Source organism: Homo sapiens, chromosome 22 (assembly GCF_000001405.40).
Source record: "Homo sapiens chromosome 22, GRCh38.p14 Primary Assembly".
NCBI classification, from domain to species: domain Eukaryota; kingdom Metazoa; phylum Chordata; class Mammalia; order Primates; family Hominidae; genus Homo; species Homo sapiens.
Genome location: NC_000022.11, coordinates 12,121,811 through 12,146,920, shown reverse-complemented (window position 1 = coordinate 12,146,920; position 25,110 = coordinate 12,121,811). Strand labels below are relative to the sequence as shown.

The 25,110-nt window shown below is 39.9% G+C and overlaps 1 long non-coding RNA gene and 2 pseudogenes across 1 annotated transcript in view; 1 reads left to right on the top strand and 2 right to left on the bottom strand.

The window, feature by feature from the left end:
• Positions 1-15,417, top strand: part of LOC105379516 (uncharacterized) — a 35,671-nt gene extending 20,254 nt beyond the window's left edge. Inside the window, exon 3 of the long non-coding RNA XR_951179.3 lies at positions 13,805-15,417. This is a non-coding gene — a long non-coding RNA (uncharacterized LOC105379516). The remainder of the gene's footprint in view (positions 1-13,804) is intronic.
• On the bottom strand, positions 9,027-9,617 carry MTCO3P34 (MT-CO3 pseudogene 34; annotated as a pseudogene).
• On the bottom strand, positions 9,931-10,987 carry MTCO1P34 (MT-CO1 pseudogene 34; annotated as a pseudogene).
• Positions 15,418-25,110: the final 9,693 nt, after the last annotated feature.

Here is a 25,110-nt window from a genome sequence, read left to right as displayed (position 1 = left end):
TTAAATAGAGGATGTAACTACAGAACCTACAGACATCAATATAATTATGAAAACTTTAGGCCAATACATTTGACAATTAAAATAACATGGGAAATTATTTGTAAAACTAATTCTTAAAACTGATGCAAAATGAAATAGAAAAAGTAATAGCTTCTCTAAGTATTGAAGATTTTTTTTTAATTTAAAAATATTTCTATAATTACAGGCTACATGCTTTCTTAGGTGAATTCTATCAAACATTTAAGAAAGTACAGAGAGTCCTCAACTTACAGTGGTTTGACTTGTGCTCTTCTGACTTGATAATGGTGCTTTCATCTGTGTACATTAATGATGAGCATCAATATGACCAGTTTTTCACTATCAGTATAGTTTTCAATAAATTTCATGAGATACTGAATATTTTAAAATGGGCCTTGTGGTAGATGATTTTGCCCAATTGTAGGATAATGTAAGTGTTCTGAGCAAGTTTAAGGTAGGCGAGTCTAAGTCATGATATTCAGTAGGTTAAATATATTAAATGCGTTTTAGACTTACAATATTTTCAATTTAGGATGAGTTCATTCAGACATAAGACAATTGTAAGTTGAGGAGTATCTATAATATCAATCTTGAACGGACTCTTTTTAAGAAATAGAATTTAAGGGCCGGGCACAGTGGCTCACACATGTAATCCCAGCACTTTGGGAGGCCAAGACGGACAGATCACCTGGGGTCAGGAGTTTGAGACCAACCTGACCAGCATGGAGAAACCCCCGTCTCTACTAAAAGTACATAATTAGCAGGGCATGGTGGCGCTTACCTGTAATCTCAGCTCCTCGGGAGACAGAGGCAGGAGAATAGCTTGAATCTGGGAGGCAGAGATTGTGGAGAGCCGAAATTGTGCCATTGCACTCCAGCCTGGGCAACAAGAGTGAATCTCCGTCTCAAAAAAAAAAAAAAAAAAAAGAAAATTTAAAGGGACATTTCCTATCTTATTTTATGAACCCAGTATTGCCGATTCCAAATCCAGACAAAGGCATTATACAACTTTGATGTTTATCCCTCATAAACACAGACTCAAAAGTCCTTAAAACATAATAACCAATTGAATGTAGCAGTACATAGAATGGATAATAAACTGTGAACAAATTAAATTTCTAGCAAGATTGCAAAGTTAATTTATTATTTGAAAGATCAGTTTAATCAATTTTATTCACCTGGATGGTTACATCTGGCAAAACTCAGCAAACTGTGCACTTTAAAATAGTATTTATTTTATGTAAATTATGTTTCAATACAATTGATTTTTTAAAAAAAAACTTTTCCCAGAGTGATCAAAGTGGAGGGCAGGGAAGAGTAAACATCAGTGCTTATGTTATAGCTACTAGAAGCCTCCCAATTCCAACGACATGCTTTCAAGCAGGTCTGATCCTTCCCCTGGAGGATACCTCTGACCCAGGTGTGTACAAATGCATTGCCCTTAGTTGCTTCTGTCACCTTAGTGATGGAAGTGACAAGAGGGTACTGGAGAAAGAAAAGGTGTACAAGGTTCCAAATGTACATTCTATTTCCAAAGGACATTTGTGAAGCCAGTGGAAAGCGAACAAACAAGCTGCTAAATAAGTCACAAGTGTGTTCTCGTACAGTTTTGCGATTAACTAAATAGGACATTCAACAGATAAAATTTGTTTTACATAGTTACTCCTCTAATAGGATGAACTTGTGGATTGTGAGATAGGGCCGATATAACCTGTTTTCTCTCTGCCTCTTTTTTTCCCCCAAGTTTTGTGTGCAATACATTAGGAAAAATATAATTGGGCTACAAAGCTACAAAAATGGCTTCCTGGCAGTCCCATGCTTGTTTCCATGTGGTGCCTATGTTTGGCACTGTGTTCTCATTTGCACTTTCCTACTTGATTAGTTAATGTATGAAGGACAAGCCTGATCTCTACTGTGAATTTTTACCAAGGTATTCTAGTAGAAAAATGAGTATGTAATGGTGCTGTGGAATGCTAAAGTGTGTAAAACATTAAGAATCTAAAAATATGCTCATTTCCAAGTTTTGTCCCACAGCAACTGTGCACTCTGATTATATCGCTACTGCTATTTAAAGTTATCCATTTGCATGTCTAAAAAATAGATTCATACTGATTGTCCCATTTTGATCTCAAAAAACTCCTGAATATGAGAGTCGTGATCAAGGGACGCTTCATGAAATGTTCCAAAGTTAAAGTGTGCAATGAAACCAGATTTATCATAGCCTTATTTAAAATAATTATTTCTAAAATTGTTATTGTTTAATTATAAATGGTATCCTTTCAGGATACTTGGAAGATCCATAGCAGTGTTTTTATTTTCACAGAACAAGCATAAATTATTTATGAAATAATAACTCAGATACAGAGATTACTTCCTATTGGCCTTACATATGAATATAAATAAATACATATTATGAACATGAGCATACTTATTTTATAATTATGTAAATGTGTGTGTAATGTTATATATAAGTTCAATAAAGTCATGCTTATACATGGTTTCAATTCATGCTTCTAAAAACCACTCAATGTAGTCATTATCATATGTTAATAAATAATCTCTGAAAATGTGCTTCTAGTAGTTGCACAATATCGCATCATAAAGATTGTCATGCTGTTTTTAAGTCATACTTTTGGGTATATAAGTTATATCTGATATTTTTCTGCTACATATATACTATTATAAATCTATTAGTAGCTGATTTTTTGTCAACACATATGATTGTTTCCTCACAATAGTACAAGAGTTGGTTGTAACTTTATTTCCTTCCAACATTTATTTTAGGTTCAGCGGGTACATGTGCAGGTTTATTATATGGGTAAAATGTGTGTCAATGGGATTTGGTGTACAGATTACGTAGTCATCCAGGTAGTGAACGTAGTATCTAATAGGGAGTTTTTTGATCCTCACTCTCCCCCCCACCCTCCACCCACAGTAGACCTTGTGTCTCTTGTTCCCTTCTCTATGTCCATGTGGACTCAATGTTTAGCCCCCACTTATAAGTGAGAACATGCAGTGTTTGTTTGGTTTTCTGTTCCTGCATTAATTCACTTAGAATAATGGTATCCAGCTCCATTCATGTTGCTGCAAAAGACATTATTTCATCCTATTTTATAGGTGTGTAGTATTCCATGGTGTATGTACGCTGCATTTTTTTAATCCAGTCTTCTGTTAACAGGCATCTAAATTGATTCCGTGTCTTTGCTATTGTGAATAGTGTTATAATGAAAATATGCATGCATATGTCTATGACAGAATGATTTATATTCCTTTGGGTATATACCCAATAATGGGATTGCTGGGTTGAATGGTAGTTCTGTTTTAAGTTATTTCAGAAATCTCCAAACTGCCTTCCACAATGGCTGAACAAATTTACATTCCTGATGAAACTGGAGACTTCCCTGACTCCCCTTGGCAGAATGTGCAACAGGGGTGTGGCTTGTCTGGCCACCGTGTGTGCTGTCAAACCCCTTACTGGGCAGGGAAGCATGCAGACAGGCAGGTGCAATAGGCAGGGCAAGTGGCCATGGTACTGTCTAGGGGTGGGTTCCTGCGACTCCCACAGCACAAGTGGGCATGTGTTACAGTGCACTCTTTTAGCTTTGCCATCCACAGACGGCTTAAGTGTTAACCTGTTCAGTGCCCTCTTGGTACCCAGTTCCTTGTCCAGCATCCAGAAAGAATTAAGTTGCACACAGACTTGAGGATGGTGAATGTGGGGGTTTTATTGAGTGGTGGAGGTGGCACTCAATGGGATGGATGGGGAGCTGGAAAGGGGATGGAATGGGAAGATGATCTTCCCCGGGAGCTTTGCCATCCAGAGGCTGATCTCTCCAACCACTGCCAGCCAAACTCCTCTTGGCATTCAGATGCTCCTTCTCTTTTTTCTGCCACATCATTCTGCAATTCTGCTCTTCTGTTCATCTCCTCATCTGCTTGTCTGCTTCTGGAGCCTGGGGTCTGGGGCATATATGGGTACAGGACAGGGGGTGCATGGTGAGCTGAAAGACAATTTTGGGTGCAAAAGCAGGAATGCCTGTTCCCATTTAGGGCCATGGGTTTCCAGGCTTGTGGGCACGGCTTTGCCAGGGAACCACTCTCTTCTACCCAGTATTTCCCTGTCTCCTTTCTATATCACCACCAGCAGTGTATAAGCATTCCCTTTTTTCCACAAACTCGGCACCGTCTGTTATGTTTTGATTTTTTAATAATAGCCATTCTGACCGGTGTGATATGGTATCTCATGGTTCTGATTTTCTGATGATTAGTGATGTTGAGTATTTTTTCATATGGTTGTTTGCCATACATACTTTGTCTTTTGAAAAAAGAATCCACAGACAGCTTAAGTGTTAACCCGTTCAGTGCCCTCTTGGTACACAAGTCCTTGTCCAGCATCCAGAAAGAAGTTGCACATGGACTTGAGGATGATGAATGTGGGGGCTCATGTTCTTTGCCTATTTGTAGTGGGTTTGTTTTTTGCTTATTGATTCTTTATACATGCTAAGTATTAGACCTTTTTCAGATATGTAATTTGAAAATATTTTCTTCTGTTCTGTAGGGTGTTCTCTGTTGATAGTTTCTTTTGCTGTGCTGAAGCTCTTTAGTTTCATTAGGTCCCACTCGTCAATTCTTCTTGTTGCAATTGCTTTTGGAACCTTCATCATGAAATATTTGCCTGCGTCTATGTCCAGAATGATATTTCCTAAGTTTTCTTCTAGGGTTTATATAGTTTTGGGTCTTACATAAGTCCTTCATCCATCTTGAGTTGATTTTTGTATATGGTGAAAGGAAGGGAGTGTACATGCCCCTGTGATATTGTTCCTAATATGCAGGTTGGGAGAGGATATTATACTCAATATTGCAGGAAGTGTCGACCACCCTGAATATTGCTTTTAATATCCAGGGAGAGAGGGTGATATTACTCCCAATATCATCCTCTCCCCCCACACCCTGCATAGTACAAGCAATATCAAAGGGGGTCTGTGCAACACGTGCAATATTGGGAGTAATATCCTCCCCCAACATGGATATTAGAAACAGTATCACAAGGGGTTGTACACCACCTGTGATATTGTGGAGTACTATCATTTTCTTTCCCCATGGATATGTAGAACAATATCACAAAGGTGGTGTACAACCCCTGCTATATTGGGAGTAATACTGTACTTTCCCCACCTAGATATTAGGAACAATATCACGGGGGGTTATACACCACTGCAACATTGGGAGTAATATCATCCTTTCCCTCCCTGGATATTAGGAACAATACCTCATGGGTGTGTACACCCTGTTCCATATTGGGATTAATATTTTCTCCCTTGCTGGACATAAGGAAAAATATAACGGGGGGTATACACTCCTTATGATATTGCCAGTAATATTATAGACTCCCCAAAGGGATATTAGAAAGAGTATCAGAGAGGGGTGTACATCCCCTGCTATATTGGGAATAATATTCTTTCTTTCCCTGGATATTAGTAATAATATCACAAAGGGGTTGTATACCCCCCGTGACATTTTAATTAATATCATCTTCCCCACTGAATATTAGGAACAAATTCCCAGGGGATTGTACACCACCTGCAATATGGACGGCTATATCATTGTCTCTCCCCCGAATATAAGGAACAATATCACAAGGGGGTTGTACAACCCCTGTGATATTGGGAGTAACTTTATACCCTTTCCACATGGATATTAGGAACAATATCACAGGGTGGGTGTACACCCACTGCGATATTGGGAGTAATATCATCCTCTACCCCCTGGGTATTATGAACAATATCATGGGGAGGGGGTGTATGCCCTCTGTGATATTGGGAGTAATATCATCCTGTCCCCTCTGGATATTAGGAAGGATATCACAGCGGGGCTGTACCTTTCTGCACTATTGGGAGTGGTATCACCCTCTCCCCCTATGGATATTAGGAACAATATCACAAAGGGGGTGTACACATCCTGCGATATTGAGAGTAATATTGTCCACTCTTCCCTGGAATATTAGGAACAATATCACAGGCAGAGTGTACACCCCCTGCTATTTTACCTGTAATATTATTCTCTCCCAACCTGGATATTAGGAATAATATAACAGGAGGGTTGTACACCACTTGTGATATTGGGAGTAATATCATTCTCTCCCCCCATGGATATTGAGAACAATATCACAGGGGCAGCTTACACCTCCTGCGCCATTTAGAGTAATATCATCCTTTTCCCCCATGGATATTAGGAACGATATCGCATGGGAAGTGTACACCCCCGCCATATTGGGAGTAATATTTTCTCCCTTGCTAGACATTAGGAACAATATCACGGGAATGCACACACCCTGCGATATTGCCAGTAATATCGTAGTCTCCTCCCAGGATATTAGGAACAATATCACAAGGGGGGTGTACATGCCCTGTGATATTGGAAGTAATATCATCGACTCCCCCAACGGATATTAGTAACAATAGCAGAAGGGGTGTACACCCCTTGCAATATTTATAGTACTATCATCCTATACCCCCTGGATATTAGGAACAATACCACGGGGAGGTGTATACCCACTGTGATATTGGGAGTAATTTCATCCTCTACCCCTTGGATGTTAGGAGCAGTATCACAAGGGGGATGTGCACCCTCTGTGATATTAAAAATAATACCATTCTCTCCTTCTGTGGATACTAGGAATAATATCACAGTGCTGGTGTACACCCTTTACACTATTTGGAGCAATATCACCCTCTCCCCCACTTGATATTAGAGACAATATCATGGGGGGTGGCGTGTAACACCCTGCACTGTTGGGAGTACTATCATCTAGTCTTCCCCTGGATATAAGAAACAGTATCACAGAAGGGGTCTACACCTCCTGAGATTTTGGGAGTAATATCATCCTCTCCAAATCTGGATATTAAGGACAGTATAATGGGGTGTGGGGAGTAATATGGTGGGAGTAATACAATCCTCCTCCCCACTTGATATTAGGAACAATATCGCAAAACGTGTGTACACCCACTGTGACATTTGGAGTAATATCAACATTTCCCCACCTGGTATCACGGGGAGAGTGTACAGTCCTTACGATATTGGAAGTATCATTGTCTCTCACTCTCGATATTAGGAAAAATAGCACAGGGTGTGTATACACTTCCTGTGATTTTGGGAAGAACATCATACCCTTCTGTCTTTGATATTAGGAACAATATCACAGAGGGGGTGTACAACTTCTGTGATATTATAATATTCTTTCTTCCTATGGATATTAGGAATGATATCCCGGTGGGCTTGTTGTACACCCCCTGTGATACGGACAGTAATATCATTGTCCTTCCCCCTACATATTAGAAACAATATCACAAGGGTGGTATACACCCCCTGGATATTAAAAACTATCACAGGGGGGCTGTACAACCTCTTTGATACTGTGAGTAATACCATTGTCTCCCCTCCTGGGTATTAATAACAATATCATAGGGTGGGTGTACACCCCCTGCAATATTGGGAATAATATCATCCTGTCTTCCCCGGGATATTAGGAACGGTATCACAGGTGGGGTTTACACCCCCTGCAATTTTGTCAGTAATATTACTTCTGGATGTTATTGAATATATCACAGTGGGGGTGTACACCCCCTGTGATATGGGGAGTAATAGCATCCTCTTTCCCACTGGATACTACAAACAATATCGCAGATTGTGTACAACCTCCTGTGATATTGTTCACAATATTTAGGGAAGGAGAGGATGATATTACTCCACATATCGCAGGGAGTGTTACATCCCCTGTAATATTGTTCATAATATTTAGAAGACGACAGGATGATATTACTCCCAATATAGTAGGAAGTATACACTCCCCTGTGATACTGTTCATAATTTTTAGGGGATTAGAGGATGATATTACTTCCAATATCACAGGGAGTGTACACTGGTGATATTGTTTATAATTTTCAGTGGATTAGAAGATATTATTCCGAATATCACAGGGGTTGTACATCCCCAAGTGATATTGTTAATATTCAGTGGGAAAGAGGATGATATTACTCCCCATATCACGGGGGATGTAAACCCGTTTGTGGTATTGTCACTTACATCTGGGGGGGAGAGGATGATATTACTCTGCATATCATAGAGGGTGCACACGGCTGTAATGTTGTCCATAATAACATCCAGAGGGGAAGAGAATATTATTCCCATGTTTCAGAAGGTGTACACACCCCTGTGATAGTCTCTGTAACATTTAGGGAAGAAGGGGATGATACTACTCCAGATATTGCAGGGGGTGTACACCCCCCTGTGATACTGTTCATAACGTTTAGGGGAAAGAGGATGATATTACTCCCCATATCGAAGGGATTGTACATCTCCCTATATATTGTCCATAACATCCAGGACAGGAGAGGATATTACTACTCCCCATATCACAGGGGGTGGACAACCCCCTCTAAATATGTCTAACATCCAGGCGGGAACAGGAGGATATTTTTCCCCATAACCCAGAGAAAGTAAACCTCCTGCGATATTGTCCATAACATCCAGTGGGGGGAGGATGATATCACTCCCCATATTGCAGGGGGTGCACACTCCACTCTGATATTGGCCGTAATATCCGGGGGGGTGAAGTATGAAGTCACTACACATATCGCAGGGATTATTAGTATCAGATTGTTTGAAGGGCTCACAGTAAGGGTAGTAGTAGGGCGAGTTCTAACTCAAATAGGGGAAATGTGATGGCTACTAGAAAGAATTTTATGGAGAAGGGAATGTGGGCAGAGGATAGAGGGTCAAATCTGCATTCATAAGGGCTAGATTTTTCTATATATATTTATTTTATACATATATATATATTTTTCTCTCTCTCTACATATATATATTAAGTTGTGGGAGCCAAAATGTAATAATTATTAGTAACAGGGCAAATAGGGTGTTGATTACTAGGGTTAATGTTAGGTGAATTACTGTTTTTCGGATGCTATCAAAACTTTGGAAATCATGGTACTATTTATACTAAAAGAGTAAGATCCTCATCAATAAGTAGAAACATACAAGAATAGTCATACTACATCTACAAAGTGTCGATATCAGGCAGCGGCTTCAAAGGCAAAGTGATGACTAGATGTAAAGTGGTATTTTAATTGGCGGAGAAGGCAGACTGAGGAATGTTGACCCAATAATGACGTGAATTCTGTGAAAGCCTGTAGCTATAAAAAATGTTGAGCCATAAATACCATCAGAAATAGCAAAGGGAGCTTTGAAGTATTCTGAGACTTGTAGGAGGGTGAAGTAAATATCTAATATAATTGTAACAGGTAGTGCTTGGATTGTATGTTTTTGATTATTTTTTGTTAGGCTGTGATGGGCTCAAGTAATTGAAACTCCTGATGCAAGTAATACAGATGGATTCAGGAGAGGTACTTCCAGGGGGTCAAGGGGAGAAATACCTGTTGGGGGTCAATGCCCTCCTAATTCTGGAGTAGGGGCTAGGCTAGAATGGTAGAATGCTCAAAAGAATCCAGCGAAGAGGAATATTTCTGAGATAATAAATAGGACTGTCCCATATTGGAGGCCTTTTTGAACAGTTGTTGTATGGTGACCCTGAAATGTACTTTCTCAGATACAGAACACCCTTGGTCAATTGAATACAGATCAATCACTTTAAGTAAGCTAAGTCCTTACTAAATTGATGAGACTTAAACCCATGAAAACTTAACAGCTAAACTCCCTAGTCAACTGGTTTGAATCTACTTCTCCAGCCGCTGGGGGAAAAAGGGTGAGAGAAGCAGGATTGAAGCTGCTTCTTTGAATTTACAATTCAACATGAAAATCACCTTGGGACTGGTAAAAACAGGCGTTGACCTCTGTTTTTAGATGTACAGTCTAATGCCCTACTCAGTCATTTTACCCTTTTTTCTCACTTCATTTATGTTGGCTGACAGTTGACTATTCTCAACCAACCATAAAGATATCGGGACATTATATTTATTATTTGGCACATGAGCAGGGATAGTCAGTACAGCTTTAAGCCTTATTCGAGCTGAACTCTACTAGATGATCAAATTTATGTCATTGTTATAGCCTATGCATTTGTCATAATTTTCTTTATAGTAATACTATAATTGGAGGTCTTGGCAACTGATTAGTCCCCCGATAATTGGCGCCCCCGATATAGCATTTCTCTGCATAAATAATATGAGCTTCTGACTCCTCCCACCCTCCTTCCTATTATTACTTGCATCCACTATAGTAGAAGCCGGCACTGGAACCGGCTGAACAGTCTCTCCTCCCTTAGCAAGAAACCTAACACATGCAGGCGCCTCTGTAGATTTCACTATCTTTTCACTCCACTTGACAGGTGTTTCTTCTACTTGAGGGGCTATTAACTTTATTACCACAATTGTTAATATAAAACCCCCAGCCATGTCCCAATATCACACACCCCTCTTCATCTGATTAGTCCTAATTACAGCAGTTCTTCTACTCCTTTGTCTCCGAGTCCTAGCCGCCAGCATCACTATATTGTTAACTGACTGCAATCTTAATACTATTTTTTTCTACCTGGCTGGCGGAGGTGATCCTGTCTTATTTCAGCATTTATTCAGATTCTTTGGTCACCCTGAAATCTACATCCTCATCCCACTGGGCTTTGGGATAATTTCCCACGTCGTAACATACTATTCTGGAAAAAAAAGAACCATTCAGGTATATGGGCCTAGTGTGAGCTATAGGATCAGTTGGATCCTTACAGTTTATTGTATGGGCCCACCGTATATTTACGGTAGGGATAGATGTGGATACATGAGCCTGCTTCACCTCTGCTATTATAATTATTGCTATTCCTACTAGCGTCAAAGTTTTTAGCTGACTAGCTAGCTACACTTCACGGCGGTAATATCAAATGATCCCCCGCAATGCTGTGAGCCCGGGGATTTATTTTCCTTTTTACAGTAGGAGGCCTAACCAGCATTGTATTGGCTGAGGCTTATATTATGGTTCATTCATACATTTAGAAACCTGAAAGTTTCTAAATAAGTTGTAAAAAAGTTGTAAAAACACCCCAGCTGAAATAACTACGAAGGTGCCTTTAATATTCTGAAGACAAAATAGCTAAGATCCAAACTGGGAGTAGATACCCCGCTATGCTTAACTCTAAACTCGAATAGTTAGATCAACAAAACTGTTGGCCAGAACACTACAAGCAACAGCTTAAAACTCAAAGGACTTGGCGGTGCTTTATAGCCCTCTAAAGGAGCCTGTTCTATAATCGATAAACCGCAATTTACCTCACCACCTCTTACCCAGCCTAAATACCTCCATCTTCAGCAAACGCTGGAAAGGCCGCAGAGTAAGCACAAGTATCTACATAAAAACTTTAGGTCAAGGTGTAGCCCATGAGGTGGCAAGAAATGGGAACGTTTTCTACATCCAGAAAAATGTCGCGACAACCGTTATGAAATCTAAGGGCTCAAGGAGGATTTAGCAATAAATTGAGAGCAGAGTGTTTAATTGAATAAGGCCATGAAGCATGCACACACCGCCCGTCACCCTCCTCAAATATATTCTAGAAATTCATTCTACACACCCCTGTGATATTGTCCATAATATCCAGGGAGGGAGAGAATGATTTGATTTTTTTTTTTTTTTTTGAGACAGAGCCTTGCTCTGTCGCCCGGGTTGGAGTGCAGTGGCCTGATCTTGGCACACTGCAAGCAACGCCTCCCAGGTTCACACCATTCTCCTGCCTCAGCCTCCCTAGTAGCTGGGACTACAGGCGCCCGCCACCGCGCCCGGCTAATTTTTTGTATTTTTAGTAGAGACGGGGTTTCACCATGTTAGCCAGGATGGTCTCGATCTCCTGACCTCGTGATCTGCCCGCCTTGGCTTCCCAAAGTGCTGGGATTACAGGTGTGAGCCACCGCTCCTGGCCAGAGAGAATGATTTTACTCCCCATATCGCAGGGGATTTACATTCCCCTGCATTATTTTTCGTAATATCCAGGGGGAAGATGAAGATGTTACTCCCCATATAGCATGGGAGAACAATTCCCTGTGATATTGTTCATAATATCTCTGGGGGGAAAGAACTATATTTCTCCTTTTATCGCAGGAAGTGTACACCCCCTTGTGATATTGTTTATAATATCTAGTGGGGGAGAGGATGATGCTACTCCCCATATTGCAGGGGGTGTACAACCCCCTAGAATATTGTTCATAATATCCACGTGGGGAGGAGATGATGTTACTACACATATCGCCAGGGTGTACTGCCCCCTGCCATATTGTTTGTAATATCCAGGCTGGGAAAGGATGATATTACTCCCTGTATCACAGGGGATGTACACACCCCTGTGATATTATTAGTAATATCCACGGGGGAGATAATACTACTTCCAATACCATAAACACCCTGTGTGTACACCCTCTGTGATATTTTTTGTAATATCCAGGGTGGGAGAGGAGTATATTACTCCCTATAAGGCAGAGTGTGTATACACCCCTCTGTGATATTGTTCATAATATCCACTGGGGGATATGATATTACTCCCAATATCATAAACACCTCACATGTACACCGTCTGTGATATTATTTGTAATATCCAGTGGGGGAGAGGATGATATTACTTTCCACATCGCAAGGGGTTTACACCCCTCTGTGATACAGTTTGTAATATCTAGAGGGGGAGAGGGTGATATTACTCCTCATATCTCAGGACATGTACACCCCCCTGTGATATTGTTTGTAATATTGTTCCCAATATCCTTTTCCCCCGTGGATATAGGAACAGTATCGCATAGGACGTGTACACCCCCTGCCATATTGGAAGTAGTAGTGTTTTCTCCCTTGCTGGACATTAGGAACAATACCATGGGGGGGTGCACACCCCCTGCGATATTGACAGTAATGTAATCCACTATCCCCTAAATATAGGAACAATATCACAATGGGGATGTACACACTTGGCGATATTGAAAGTGATATGATCCTCTCCCCACCTGGATATTAGGAACAATATCACAGAAGGGGTGTACACCCCCTGCGATGTTGACAGTAATATCCTCTCCCACCCCCGGATATTAGGAGCAATATCACAGAAGGGTTGTACACTCCCTGCGATATTGACAGTAATATCCTCTCCCCCCTGGATATTAGGAACAATATCACAGAAGAGGTGTACACCCACTGTGATATTGACAGTAATTTCCTCTTCCCCCCCCCCGGATATTAGGAACAATACCATGGGGGGTGTACACCCCCTGCAATAATGACAGTAATATCATCCTCTCCTCCCCAGATATTAGTAACAATATCACTGAAGGGGTCTACACCCCCTGTGATAGTGACAGTAATATCCTCTCCCCCCCCCAGATATTAGGAACAATAACACGGGAGGATGTACACCCCCTGTGACATTGACAGTAATATCAACCTCTCCCCCCACCCCGCATATTAGGAAGAATACCACCGGGGGTGCACACCCCCTGTGATATTGAGAGTAATATCACCCACTATCCCCTAAATATTAGGAACAATAACCCAAGGCAGGGAGTACACCCTCTGCGATATTGGGAGTAATGTCATCCTTCCCCTGCCCCTGCATACTAGGAATAATATCACAGGGGATGTACACCCCCATACGCTATTGGGAGAAACATCACTCTTTCTTCCCATGGATATTAGGAACAATATCACAGAAGTGGTGTACACACGCTGCACCGTATAGAATAAAGCAGGCGGAGGAAGATGGGATAACCTTACTAGCTGAAGCTTCTGGCTCTCTTTTTTTCTTCTTCCCGTGCAGGACACTTGCTTCCCTTCTTCCTGCCCTCGGACATGAGACTCCAGGTTCTTACGCCTTTGGACTCTGGGACTTGTACCAGCGGCTTCCCCGAGGCTCTCAGGCCCTCGGCCTCATACTGAAGACTGCACTGCGGGCTTTCCTGGTTTTGAGGCTTTTGGACTTGGACTGAGCCACTACTAGCTTCTCTCTTTCCCTACCTGGCAGACAGCCTATTGTGGGACTGCCTTCTAACCGTGTGAACCAATTCTCTCTCGTAATCTCCCTTATACATATACGTGTATCTTGTTGGTTCTGTCCCTCTGGAGAACCCTGACTCATACATTTTGTTTATTTTTTCTCCATTGCCCTTTCCTCTGCTTCTAGGCTTACCTAGACCACCACCATTCTTTCCCCCTTTCTAAAGTAAAAGTTGTTTTTTTCTCACTAAATGCATGGTATTCTGCCCGTTTTCCATGGCTTCCCTCAGCCCTGCTCTGTTTATTCTTGCTATCTTAAGAGGAAATCCCTGCCTCTTCCGTGGCTTTTCCCACTTGGCCTACATACTGGTTTCTGTTGTTCTCAGAGACACACTGAGACCCTTCACATCTCACTGTCACTTCTTGGAAGGGCTCTCTACCTCGTCTGCCTGCTGAGCAACCTCTTGGGGAGACGCAGGCCCTCTTGAGTCACTGAACTTGAGCTATATGGTGTTGGTATGTTAATTTATCTTCTTAGACCACTTACCACTTCTTTAACTTCAAAAGAGGAGAATAAGTATTATTTTCCATGGTTGATATGAAGAGTAGAAATAACTTATACCAAATGCATTGCAGTTAAGTGATAATAAATGGCCGTGAATGCCCTTATTAATGTTATTCTATCAGTCTCGGCTCAGATAGCATCTGCTCTGTAAGCTCTGCTCTGAATCATATCTGCTTCTTCTCTGGGTTCCTTGTGCTCTGTTCTTAACTACTTTAAAGCAGTAATTGTTCTGATTCTAATTAGTGATCCTTCCCAATAAAATTTTAATTTTGTAGATCTCTTCCCCCTACCCCTGCCGCAGCCTAACCAGTGTTTTCTTACTTTTTTGTGTACAAGCTACATCACTGGTCTTTTATTTGTGGCTAAATAAATGTTGTGTTAGAAGAGTAAAGAGTTCCCAGTTACATGGGATCTATAGTTCTACAAAATGAATGTATACATAATCCATGTAAATATTTCACTTATTTTAAAACAATTTTTTAATTTTTAAATTAAATTTAATTTGTGCATGTGTGTGAGACCAGAGTGAGACCAGAGATTGCGGCGGTGAGGGGCGGTGGTCTCACCATGTTGCCCAGGCTGGTCTTGAACTCCCCTTCAAGTGCCCCCCTCCTCACCTGGCCCCCCTCACCTTGCCTCCTCCCCCTCACTCCTATGCCAGCCCCTGCCATTCCCTACCCCCTCTGTTGACCGCAAGACTCAACAAGTGACTTGCTGAGCAAACCCTGCTGAGAAGAGGTCTGTTTAGGGACACAGGAGGCCAAGTACACAAAAAAGCAAAAGAACTAGCATGCCTTTTTCAATGGATGTCTATTTTACAGGGCTGGCTTCAGATTATTGTTATAGCTTTAAATAAAAGGACCGTTTTGTCATCTCGGCCCATGGCCTACATTATTTCTTTACTGTCCATTGCCCTGGGCGCTTGACTAATAATTTAACAGCAATTTTTTTTTTAAATTTTAAATCATGATTCATTGCATTGCTGTAAGAGTAATTAGAGGTAAATTAGGGCTTGAAACTGCCTGTAGTGGGTTACTTTCTGAGATCTTAGTATAATTATCAGGTGAGAGGGTGAAGTTTTAATCAGCGCTAAGTGGGATAGAAATTCAATGCACTGAAACTGTAGTGTCCAATTCAGTAGGCGCTAGCCACCTGTAACTGTTGAGCACTTGAAATCCTGGCTAGTCCTAATTGAGATGTGTTGTGTTAAATATACTGGATTTTGTCATTGGAGTGGGAAGAACAGCGTAGAATATCTGCTTGATAATTTTTTATATTGATTACATGTTAAAATTATTACTATGATTACTATTTGGGACATACTGAGTTAAGTATATTTAAAATTAATTTCACCTTTTAATGGGGCTTACTAGTACATTTAAAATTACATATGTGGCTCACATATTTATTGGACAGCACGGCTCTAGAAGTTTAGGAAGAAATAAGAAAAATATTGAGAATAGGTAGCAACAGTAGGAAGTTTGACCTCCTGTAAGACTGATTCCAATAAAACTAATAGGTGATAGTTTTAATTGGCTTTTTCCTACTAGAAAAAGTAAGTGTACTTTACGTGTCTCTTTGTTCTCCCTCTTTCCCCTTCAATTTAGTGGTTAGCGTGTATTTACTATATCAGGCTTAAAATTCACTAAGCAGTGTTAAGAAGACTTAGGTAAATGATTCCCTGATGAACACACTTGATTTTCAAAGCACCTTCCTAACCCATTTTTAATTGGAATAGAGTCAAAGGTAGATGGCTTATTAGTAGTCATCTCATTTAAACCTCATGGAATTTTCCTGTTAAATCTCAAAGTAAACAATTTGTTATAGGCTGTTTTGTCAAGTGCATGGAAGGGACAGCATAAGACATGTGGTACTTCATTTCAAAATTGCTTGAGATGGTTTTCATTATAATCATACATTATTTGCTTCTGGTTTTCCAGAAAAGCCAGCTAAACCTGTGGTTCATTTAGATATAAATGAAATATCCTCAAAGGATTGCTCAAAGTGACTTATGCAACTTGAATATATATTTTTTTCTGTAGGGTGTTTATTCCAAATTATCTGGCCATTTGTGGCAATTTGCAGTTTTTTAGAAAACACCAAATATTTTTCAAGTTAGAGATGTTTTAATAAAAACAGTCATATTGAACTGGAAGCAGCCAAATAAAATGGCCCTTTATTTCACAGTTGAGAATTTGAAATTGGAAGGTAATTAACATATGTAAGGATGATGTATTTGCTGCCTGGCTTATAGGAAGGAGCCAAGGTGTTTTTTGAGGGATGTTGTTGCTGTGTATGTCCCACCTATTTTGCTTCCTTAATGAACAATGCAAGTTTGAGACAGAAATATTTGAGAACATTTTTATCAGTTGCGACATTTTGATAGTGAACATTTTATATCTTCTGTCAACTTAAAATGTTTGCATCTTCTGTCTGCTTAAAATGTTTAATTTGTTATAGCCAAATAATTTGGCTATAATTGAGAATTTAATTTATCAAATTAAATTGCTTTTTTTCCCTTTAGACTTTCTTCAGTCACATCTGAATAAATCACTTAGAAGTAAGCTAGATGTAATATAATGAAATGCTTAAAAGGGCTGTGTATCTTCATATTACACTTACAGTGATTTTCTGTTGTACCCATTATATTCTACCTGCAGCTAGTTGAGGTAAAGAGAGGGCATTTAACTGTCAAGGGAACCTGTGAGGAGACTGTAGAAATCTGGAAAGTCTCTTGAGTCTTTGAGGGATTTTGGGATGCAGAGAGTGGGGCTGGGATCTCTGGCTAGGTTGGAGCCAGCCTGCATTTGTATCTTTATCTTGGAAGCAAACATAGAATGCAGAGATAGATGTGGCCTGGATGCTGCTAACTCTAGCCAACCACTAAATCTTAAGGTGGGAGAGATGCAGGCTTTGGCTGTGTGCTAAGCTGCTGTAGCTGGTTGAATGTAGAGGTCACTATCTTTTCTGAATACTTGTAAGTAAATTAAATCATTCTCTACTCCTGTATGCCTGCCAACCAAATGGGAAATCGCTATAGAAAAGATGGTTTAAATTTTAGTCTTTGAAGTGGTTAATGCACGTTTCTGGAATCAAGATTTAATGTGGACTTGGATTGGATATTGAATATTTTTGATTTGTCTACTTTTCTCTCCATAGGGAGCTTATAGCTTCATTGCACTGTGTGTGGCATTTGGGTCCTGTTTGGCAGCAATGACTGCCTTTCTGTTTAGTGTCTGTGTGCTATGAAGATTGCACACAGGAGTCCAGATGCATCCTGTTTTGAGAATGTTAATGGATACACCAGCTGCTGCTTTGGATTTCACCCATTGGCGCTTTCTATAAAAACTTTAGACACAGTGAGCCACTCTTCTCAGGGAATGGTGGAAACCCTCCTAATTCCAATTTCCTAAACACCACCCAAGGGCCAGCCTTGCATGCAGGCCTTTCTAAGGATGGCAGTCTCTTGCCTGTTACATGAAATCTTTTCTGCACACTTTGTATAGCCCCACCTTAATTTTTGGTGTTGTTTTAAAATTTCATTTTAATAACATAATATTATAAGATAAGGTAACTTGGTACTAATTTCTGTTGTATGATCCATCTTAAGTTGCAGCGCTGGTTACTTTTTTGACTTTCGATGACGAACAGCTATTTGTACATAAGTTACCATAGCAATGTTAGGTAATTATAATCTGTCCTATTTATCTCATTTACCTTTCAGTAAAATTGTTAAATAAGCAAAATAATTTGAGTTAAAATTAGAATAAAAATTGTCTTTTATTTGGATTACATGAATAATCTAGTTTTCATATTGTGCTAAAGCCCTGCTTAGAATTATGAAATAAGATAAAATATTCAATCATTTTTATCAATATTTTCTTACCTAAGCATGCAATTAAATTTATTTATTTTATATATTTTATATACTTCAATTTGAGAAATAATGACCACATGTTGTTACTTTGGTCTTCAATGATCTCTAATTTTTAGGGTCACCGTGTCTTGCTTAAATATATCATAGTAACAGGTTCAGTGACTATCTTTATTTTTAATTTTATTTACTTATTTTTTTTTTTGAGACAGAGTTTTGCTCTTGTTGACCAGGCTGCAGTGCAATGACACAATCTTGGATCATTGCAACCTCCACATCCCAGGTTCAAATGATTCTCCTGCCTCAGCCTCCCAGGTACCTGGAACTACAGGCATGCACCATCATGCCCGGCTAATTTTTTATATTCAGTAGAGATGAGGTTTTACCATGTTAGTCAGGCTGGTCTCGAACTCCTGACCTCAGGTGATCCACCCACCTCAGCCTCTCAAAGTGCTGGGATTACAGACATGAGCCACTGCCCCCAGCCATCTTTTTTATTTATTTATTTTAATTGTTGTTCTGGAGATCCTGGGATGCATAGACAGTGAATATCTTTTTTGTTTTTTGAGACAGAATCTCACTCTGTCTCCCAGGCTGCAGTGCAGTGGTGCGATCTTGGTTAACTGCAACCTCTGCTTTCTAGGCTCAAGCGATTCTCCTGCCTCAGCCTCCCAGGTAGCTGAAATTACAGGTGCCAGCTACCATGCCCAGCTAATTTTTGTATTTTTATTAGAGATGAGGTTTTGCCATGTTGGCCAGGCTGGTCTTGAACTCCTGACCTCAGGTGATCCACCCACCTTTGCCTCCCAAAGTGCTGAGATTACAGGCATGAGCCACTGAGCCCAGCTGAATATTTTTTTTTAAATCAATAACCTTATTTCTTAGAGTAGTTTTAGGTTCACAGCAAAATTGAGAGGAAGGTACAGAGATTTCTCATATATCCCATGCCTCCCACACACGCATAGCCTCCCCCATTATTAGTATTTTCCACCAGAGAGTGGTCCATTTGTTACAACTGATGAACTTACATTGACACATTATAATCACTTGAAGTTCATAGTTTACATCAGGCCTCACTCTAGATGCTGTACATTCTGTGAATTTGGACAAATGTATAATGACATGACATGTATCTATTACTGTAATATTATCGACAGAACAGTTTCACCGCCCTAAAAATTCTCTGTGCTATGCCTGTTCATCTCTCCCTTTCTCCCTAGCAACTCGTGACAACCATTGATGTTTACTCTGTCTTCATAGTTTTACTTTTTTCAGAAGAGTCATACAGTTGGAATAAGAAGAGTGGATATCTTTTTGAGTAGTTAAAAAATTAAAGCTCCATGGCAGTTGAATGTAGTCATTTAAGATGTTCTTTGTCCTTTTGTTTTTCTTTTGCTTCTTTATCATTGTAAAGAATGATGTATTCTGATGAGATATGATTTACATACTTAGAAAACATGATTTGTATAGATATGTGGCACATAATAGAAAGGGTTGAGGAAAAGGACACCACGCCGTACTACACAGCACAACCTGGAGCATCTTGCTCTGTGAGGTGGGTCCAGATAGACTCTTTAGCAATGGAAGGGGACAAGTGCAAAGGGTTGTGCTTTATAAAACTGGAATCACAAAGTCTTTCATACTTACCTTCGGTTGGAAATAAGACCAGGCAGTGAATGCTATTAGGTAAATACATAAGTTCCTCACTTATGAGGAACTTCCTTTGAGGGATGAGGTTGACAACAGCCTGTATTATGATGACATGACTCACCTACAACTAGATTCTGTCATGAGAGATGACAAGGGAGTTTTGCTTTATGCGAGGTGAAAAAAATTTTTTCACCTCGAGGCAGGTGGATCATCTGAGGTCAGGAGCTCGAGACCAGCCTGGCCAACATGATGAAATCCTGTCTCTACTAAAAAAATACAATAATTAGCCGGGCATGGGGGCGCAAGCCTGTGATCCCAGCTACTCAGGAGGCTGAGGCAGGAGAATTGTTTGAACCCGGGAGGCGGAGGTTGCAGCTAGCTGAGATCGTGTCACTGCACTCCAGCCTGGGCAACAAAAGTAAAACCTCCGTAACACACACACACACACACACACACACACACACACACACACACACACAAAGGTATATATTAAATATGTGTAATTTTTGTATGTCAACCACACCTTAGTTTTATTTTGTTTTTTTTTTTTTTTTTGAGACAGAGTCTCGCTCTGTCACCGAGGCTGGAGTCCAGTGGCGCAATCTCGGCTCACTGCAAGCTCCACCTCCCAGGTGCACACCATTCTCCTGCCTCAACCTCCGGAGTAGCTGGAACTACAGGCACCCGCCACCACGCCCAGCTAATTTTTTGTATTTTTAGTAGAGATGGCGTTTCACCGTGTTAGCCGGGATGGTATCGATCTCCTGACGTGATCTGCCTGCCTCAGCTTCCCAAAGTGCTGCGATTATAGTTGTGAGCCACCGCGCCCAGACAATTTTTATTTTTTTGAGACAGAGTCTCACTCTGTCACCCAGACTGGAGTGCAGTGGCACTATCTTGGCTCACTGCAACCTCTACCTCCCATGTTCAAGCAATTCTCCTGCCTCAGTCTCCCGAGTAGCTGGGAATACAGATGCATGCTATCATGCCTGGCTAATTTTTTGATTTTTAATAGAGATGAGGTTTCACCATGTTGGCCAGGCTGGTCTCAAACTCCTGACCTCATGTGATCTGCCCACCTCAGCCTCCCAAAGTGCTGGGATTACAGGTGTAAGCCACTGCACCCGGCAATTTTTAAATATATATAATTAAAAATTAATAAAAAACAGGTATTTGCAAGTTTCCGTTTTGTTATATGCTTATTATTCTTTATCTTTATGTCAGGTTGCTGTGTCAATACACTTAGGAGATCATAGTTTCTAAATTGAAATACAAATATGTCTGAAATTTTTCTTTTTTCTTTTTTTTTGAGACGGACTCTCATTCTGTCACCCAGGCTGGAGTGCAGTGGTGCAATCTCAGCTCACTGCAACCTCCGCCTCCCAGATTCAGGTGATTCTCCTGCCTCAGCCTCCAGAGTAGCTGGGATTACAGGCACCCACCACAACACCCAGCTAACTTTTATATATTTTTTTTCTATTTTTAGTAAAGACAGGGTTTCACCATGTTGGCCAGGCTGGTCTCCAACTCCTGACCTCAGATGATCCTCCCGCCTCGGCCTCCTCAAGTGCTGGGATTACAGGTGTGAGACACTGTGCCTGGCCTGGAATTTTTTTCTAAAATTTACATTTCTGAGTTAAGAATGCTTAAAATATTATAAAAACAGAAGCACAATTCATTATGGGTTTCATTAATTACCTTTATTAAAAACAACACAATTATATTGCAATAGGACAAAAAATGTTTAAGCAAATGAAAACCATGACATACCCAAACTCAGGAGGAGGCAACAAAGGCAGTGCTAAAGGGAAGCTTACAGCTGCAGATGCTTAAATTAAAAATAAGAAAGATCTCAAACCCATGCTAAAGGGAAGCTTATAGCTGCAGGTGCTTAAATTAAAAAGAAGAAAGATCTCAAATCAATAACCTAACATTACACCTGAAGGGGGGGAAAAAAAAAAAAACTAATGACAAACCAAGCAAAAGGAAGAAAATAACAGATTAGAGCAGAGATAAGCAGAATAAGACCAGAAAAAAGGAAAAAAAACACTGAGTTTGTTTTTTTAAAGATCAATAAAAATTTTAAAACTCACAGCTATATTAAGAAAAAAAGAGAAATCTCAAATGCTAAAATCTTAAATAAAAGAGGTGACAGTACAACAGATGTCACAAAAATGAAAAAGATTACAAGAGACTAATGTGAGCAACCATATGCCACAAAACTGGGCAACCTAGAATAAATTTATAAATTCCTAGAAACACAAAACGCCATACTGCATCAGGGAGAAATAAAAAATCCAAAGAGACCTGTAACTAGTAAGAAGATTCAACCAGTAATCAAAAACCCCCCAAAAAAGAAAATTCCAGGTCCAGATAACTTCACTGGAAAAATTTACCAAACATTTCAAGAAGAATTAATGCCAATCCTCTGCAAAATATTCCAAAAATGTTCAAAAACCAGAAGGGGACATTCCAATCCATTCTATCAGGTCAACGTTTATCTGGTTCCAGAGCCAGATGAACACCTTTTGTAATAAAAACACTCAAAGAATTAGTAATATATGGAAACTCCTCAATAAATAAAGATTATACATGAAAGGCTCACAGCTAACATCCTACTCAATGGTGAAAAACTAAAATCTTTTCCTCTAGGATCAGGAATAAGATAGCAACATCTCTTCCTGCCACTTCTATTCATCACAGTACTGGAATTTCTACTCAGAATAATTAGGCAAGAGAAAGTAATAAAAAGGATGCAAATTGGAAAGGAAAAAGTACAAAATTTTGTTCACAGACAACAGGATGTAATGTGTAAAAATCCTGAAATTCCACAAAATACTGGTAGAATAATGAAATTCAACAAAGTTTCAGGATACAGTAACACACACAAGTCAGTTGCATTTCTATAAACTAACAATGAACAATCTGCAAATAAAATTTTAAAAAGAGACCAGGTGCAGTGGCTCACACTTGTAATCCCAGCACTTTGGGAGGCCAAGGTGGGTGGACCACCTGAGGTCAGGAGTTCGTGACCAGCTGGGCCAACCTCATCTCTAATATAAATAGTAAAACTCTATCTCTATTAAAAATACAAAAATTAGCTGGGTGTAGTGGCAGACACCTGTAGTCACAGCTACTTGGGAGGCTGAGGCAGGAGAATTGCTTGAACTTGGAAGATGGAGGTTGCAGTCAGCTGAGATTGTGCCACTGCACTCCAGCTTAGGAAACAGAGTGAGATGCGGTCTCAAAAAAAAAGAAAGAAAGGAAAGAAAGAGAGAGGAAGAAAAGAAAAGAAAAGAGAAAACAAAAGAAAAGAAATTTTTAAAAAGAATGATATTTGGCCAGGTGCGGTGGTTCATGCCTGCAGTCCCAGCAGTTTGGGAGGCCAAAGTGGGCAGATCACCTGAGGTCACAAGTTCAAGACTAGCCTGGTCAACATGGAGAAACCCTGTCTCTACTAAAAATATCAAAAAATTAGCTGGGCATGGTGGCGCGCACCTGTGATCCCAGGTACTTGAGAGGCTGAGGTTGGAGAATCGCTTGAATAGGGAAGGTGCAGGTTGCAGTGACCTGAGATAGTGCCACTGCACTCCAGCCTGGGAGACAGAGCAAGACTCCATCTCAAAAAAAAAAAAAAGAATTACATTTACAACAACATTATGAAAATTAGAAATAAGCTTAACCAAGAGGGCAAAAGATTTGAACACAGAAAACTACAAAACACTGTTAAAAGAAATTAAACACAAATAAATGAAAAGAAAAGCTGGGTTTACAGATTAAATGATTTCATCTTGGAATGATGTCAACACTACTCGAAGTGACCTAGATTCAATACAATCCTTATAAAGATTCCAATGACATTTTTGATAAACAGAAAATCCTATCCTAAAATTCATATGGAATCTATGGGGCCCATGAATAGGCAAATCAATCTTGAAACAGAACAAAATTAAAGGTCTCAAAACAATTACAAAACTGCAATAAGCCAAAAAAAAATATGTGGTCATGGCAAAAAGACACTCTTGACACACTTATGGACCAACACAACGGAGACCTCAGAAACCAACCCTGGCATATATGGTCCAATGATCTTCCACAAGGATGCCAAGACCACTCAATGGCGAAGGACACTTTCTTCAACAAATGGTGTTGGGAAAATTGTATATCTACATGCAAAACAATGAAGTTGGACGCTTACCTTACACCATGTTAAAATTAATTCAAAGTGAATTATAAACCTAAATGTAAAACTAGAACTATCAAACTCCTAGGGAAAACAAATTTGGAAAATGCCTTATGACGTTGAATTTGTCAATAATTTTTAGGATATGACATTAAAATCTCAGGCAGTAAAAGCAAAAATATATCAAACCTAAAAACTTCTGTTCCTCAAAGGTCACAACCAACAGGGTAAAAGGCAAACTGTAGAATAAATAAAATACCAGTTGAGTGTCCCTTATTTGAAATGCTTGGGATGTATTTCAGATTTTGTAATATTTGCATTATTCTTACTGGTTTAGCATCTCGAATTCAAACACCCGAGTCTGAGATGCTCCAATAAGCATTTCCTTTGAGTGTCATGTTGGCACTCAAAAAGTTTCAGACTTTGGAGCATTTGGGATTTCAGATTTTTGGATCAGAGACATTCAACCTATAGTAGCTCATCATGTATCTCATAAGAAGTGAACATTCAGAATACGTAAAGTACTCCTACAGAGAGACTACCAGAAGCAGAGAGGAGCAAACACATTTTCACACTAGGGCACCTCCTATCTCTCCTGGATTCTAATTAGGGCAGAGTAAGTGCTAGTTCTCTGCCAACCCAGGATTAGGCCCTGCAGCTGCAGTGAAAATAATCACAGAAGAAAACTAAGAAATAAAAAATGGAGAAAGTGAGACATCAAACTAGAATTACTAGAAACCCCCAGGAAGAAGGAAAAAAAAAAAACCCAGGAAAACAGAAAAACAATCAAACGAGTTAATTAAACCTTGTGGTGCGACCCGAAGATCAGGGTTTCCTAAAGGAGTGGAAATTTATTGA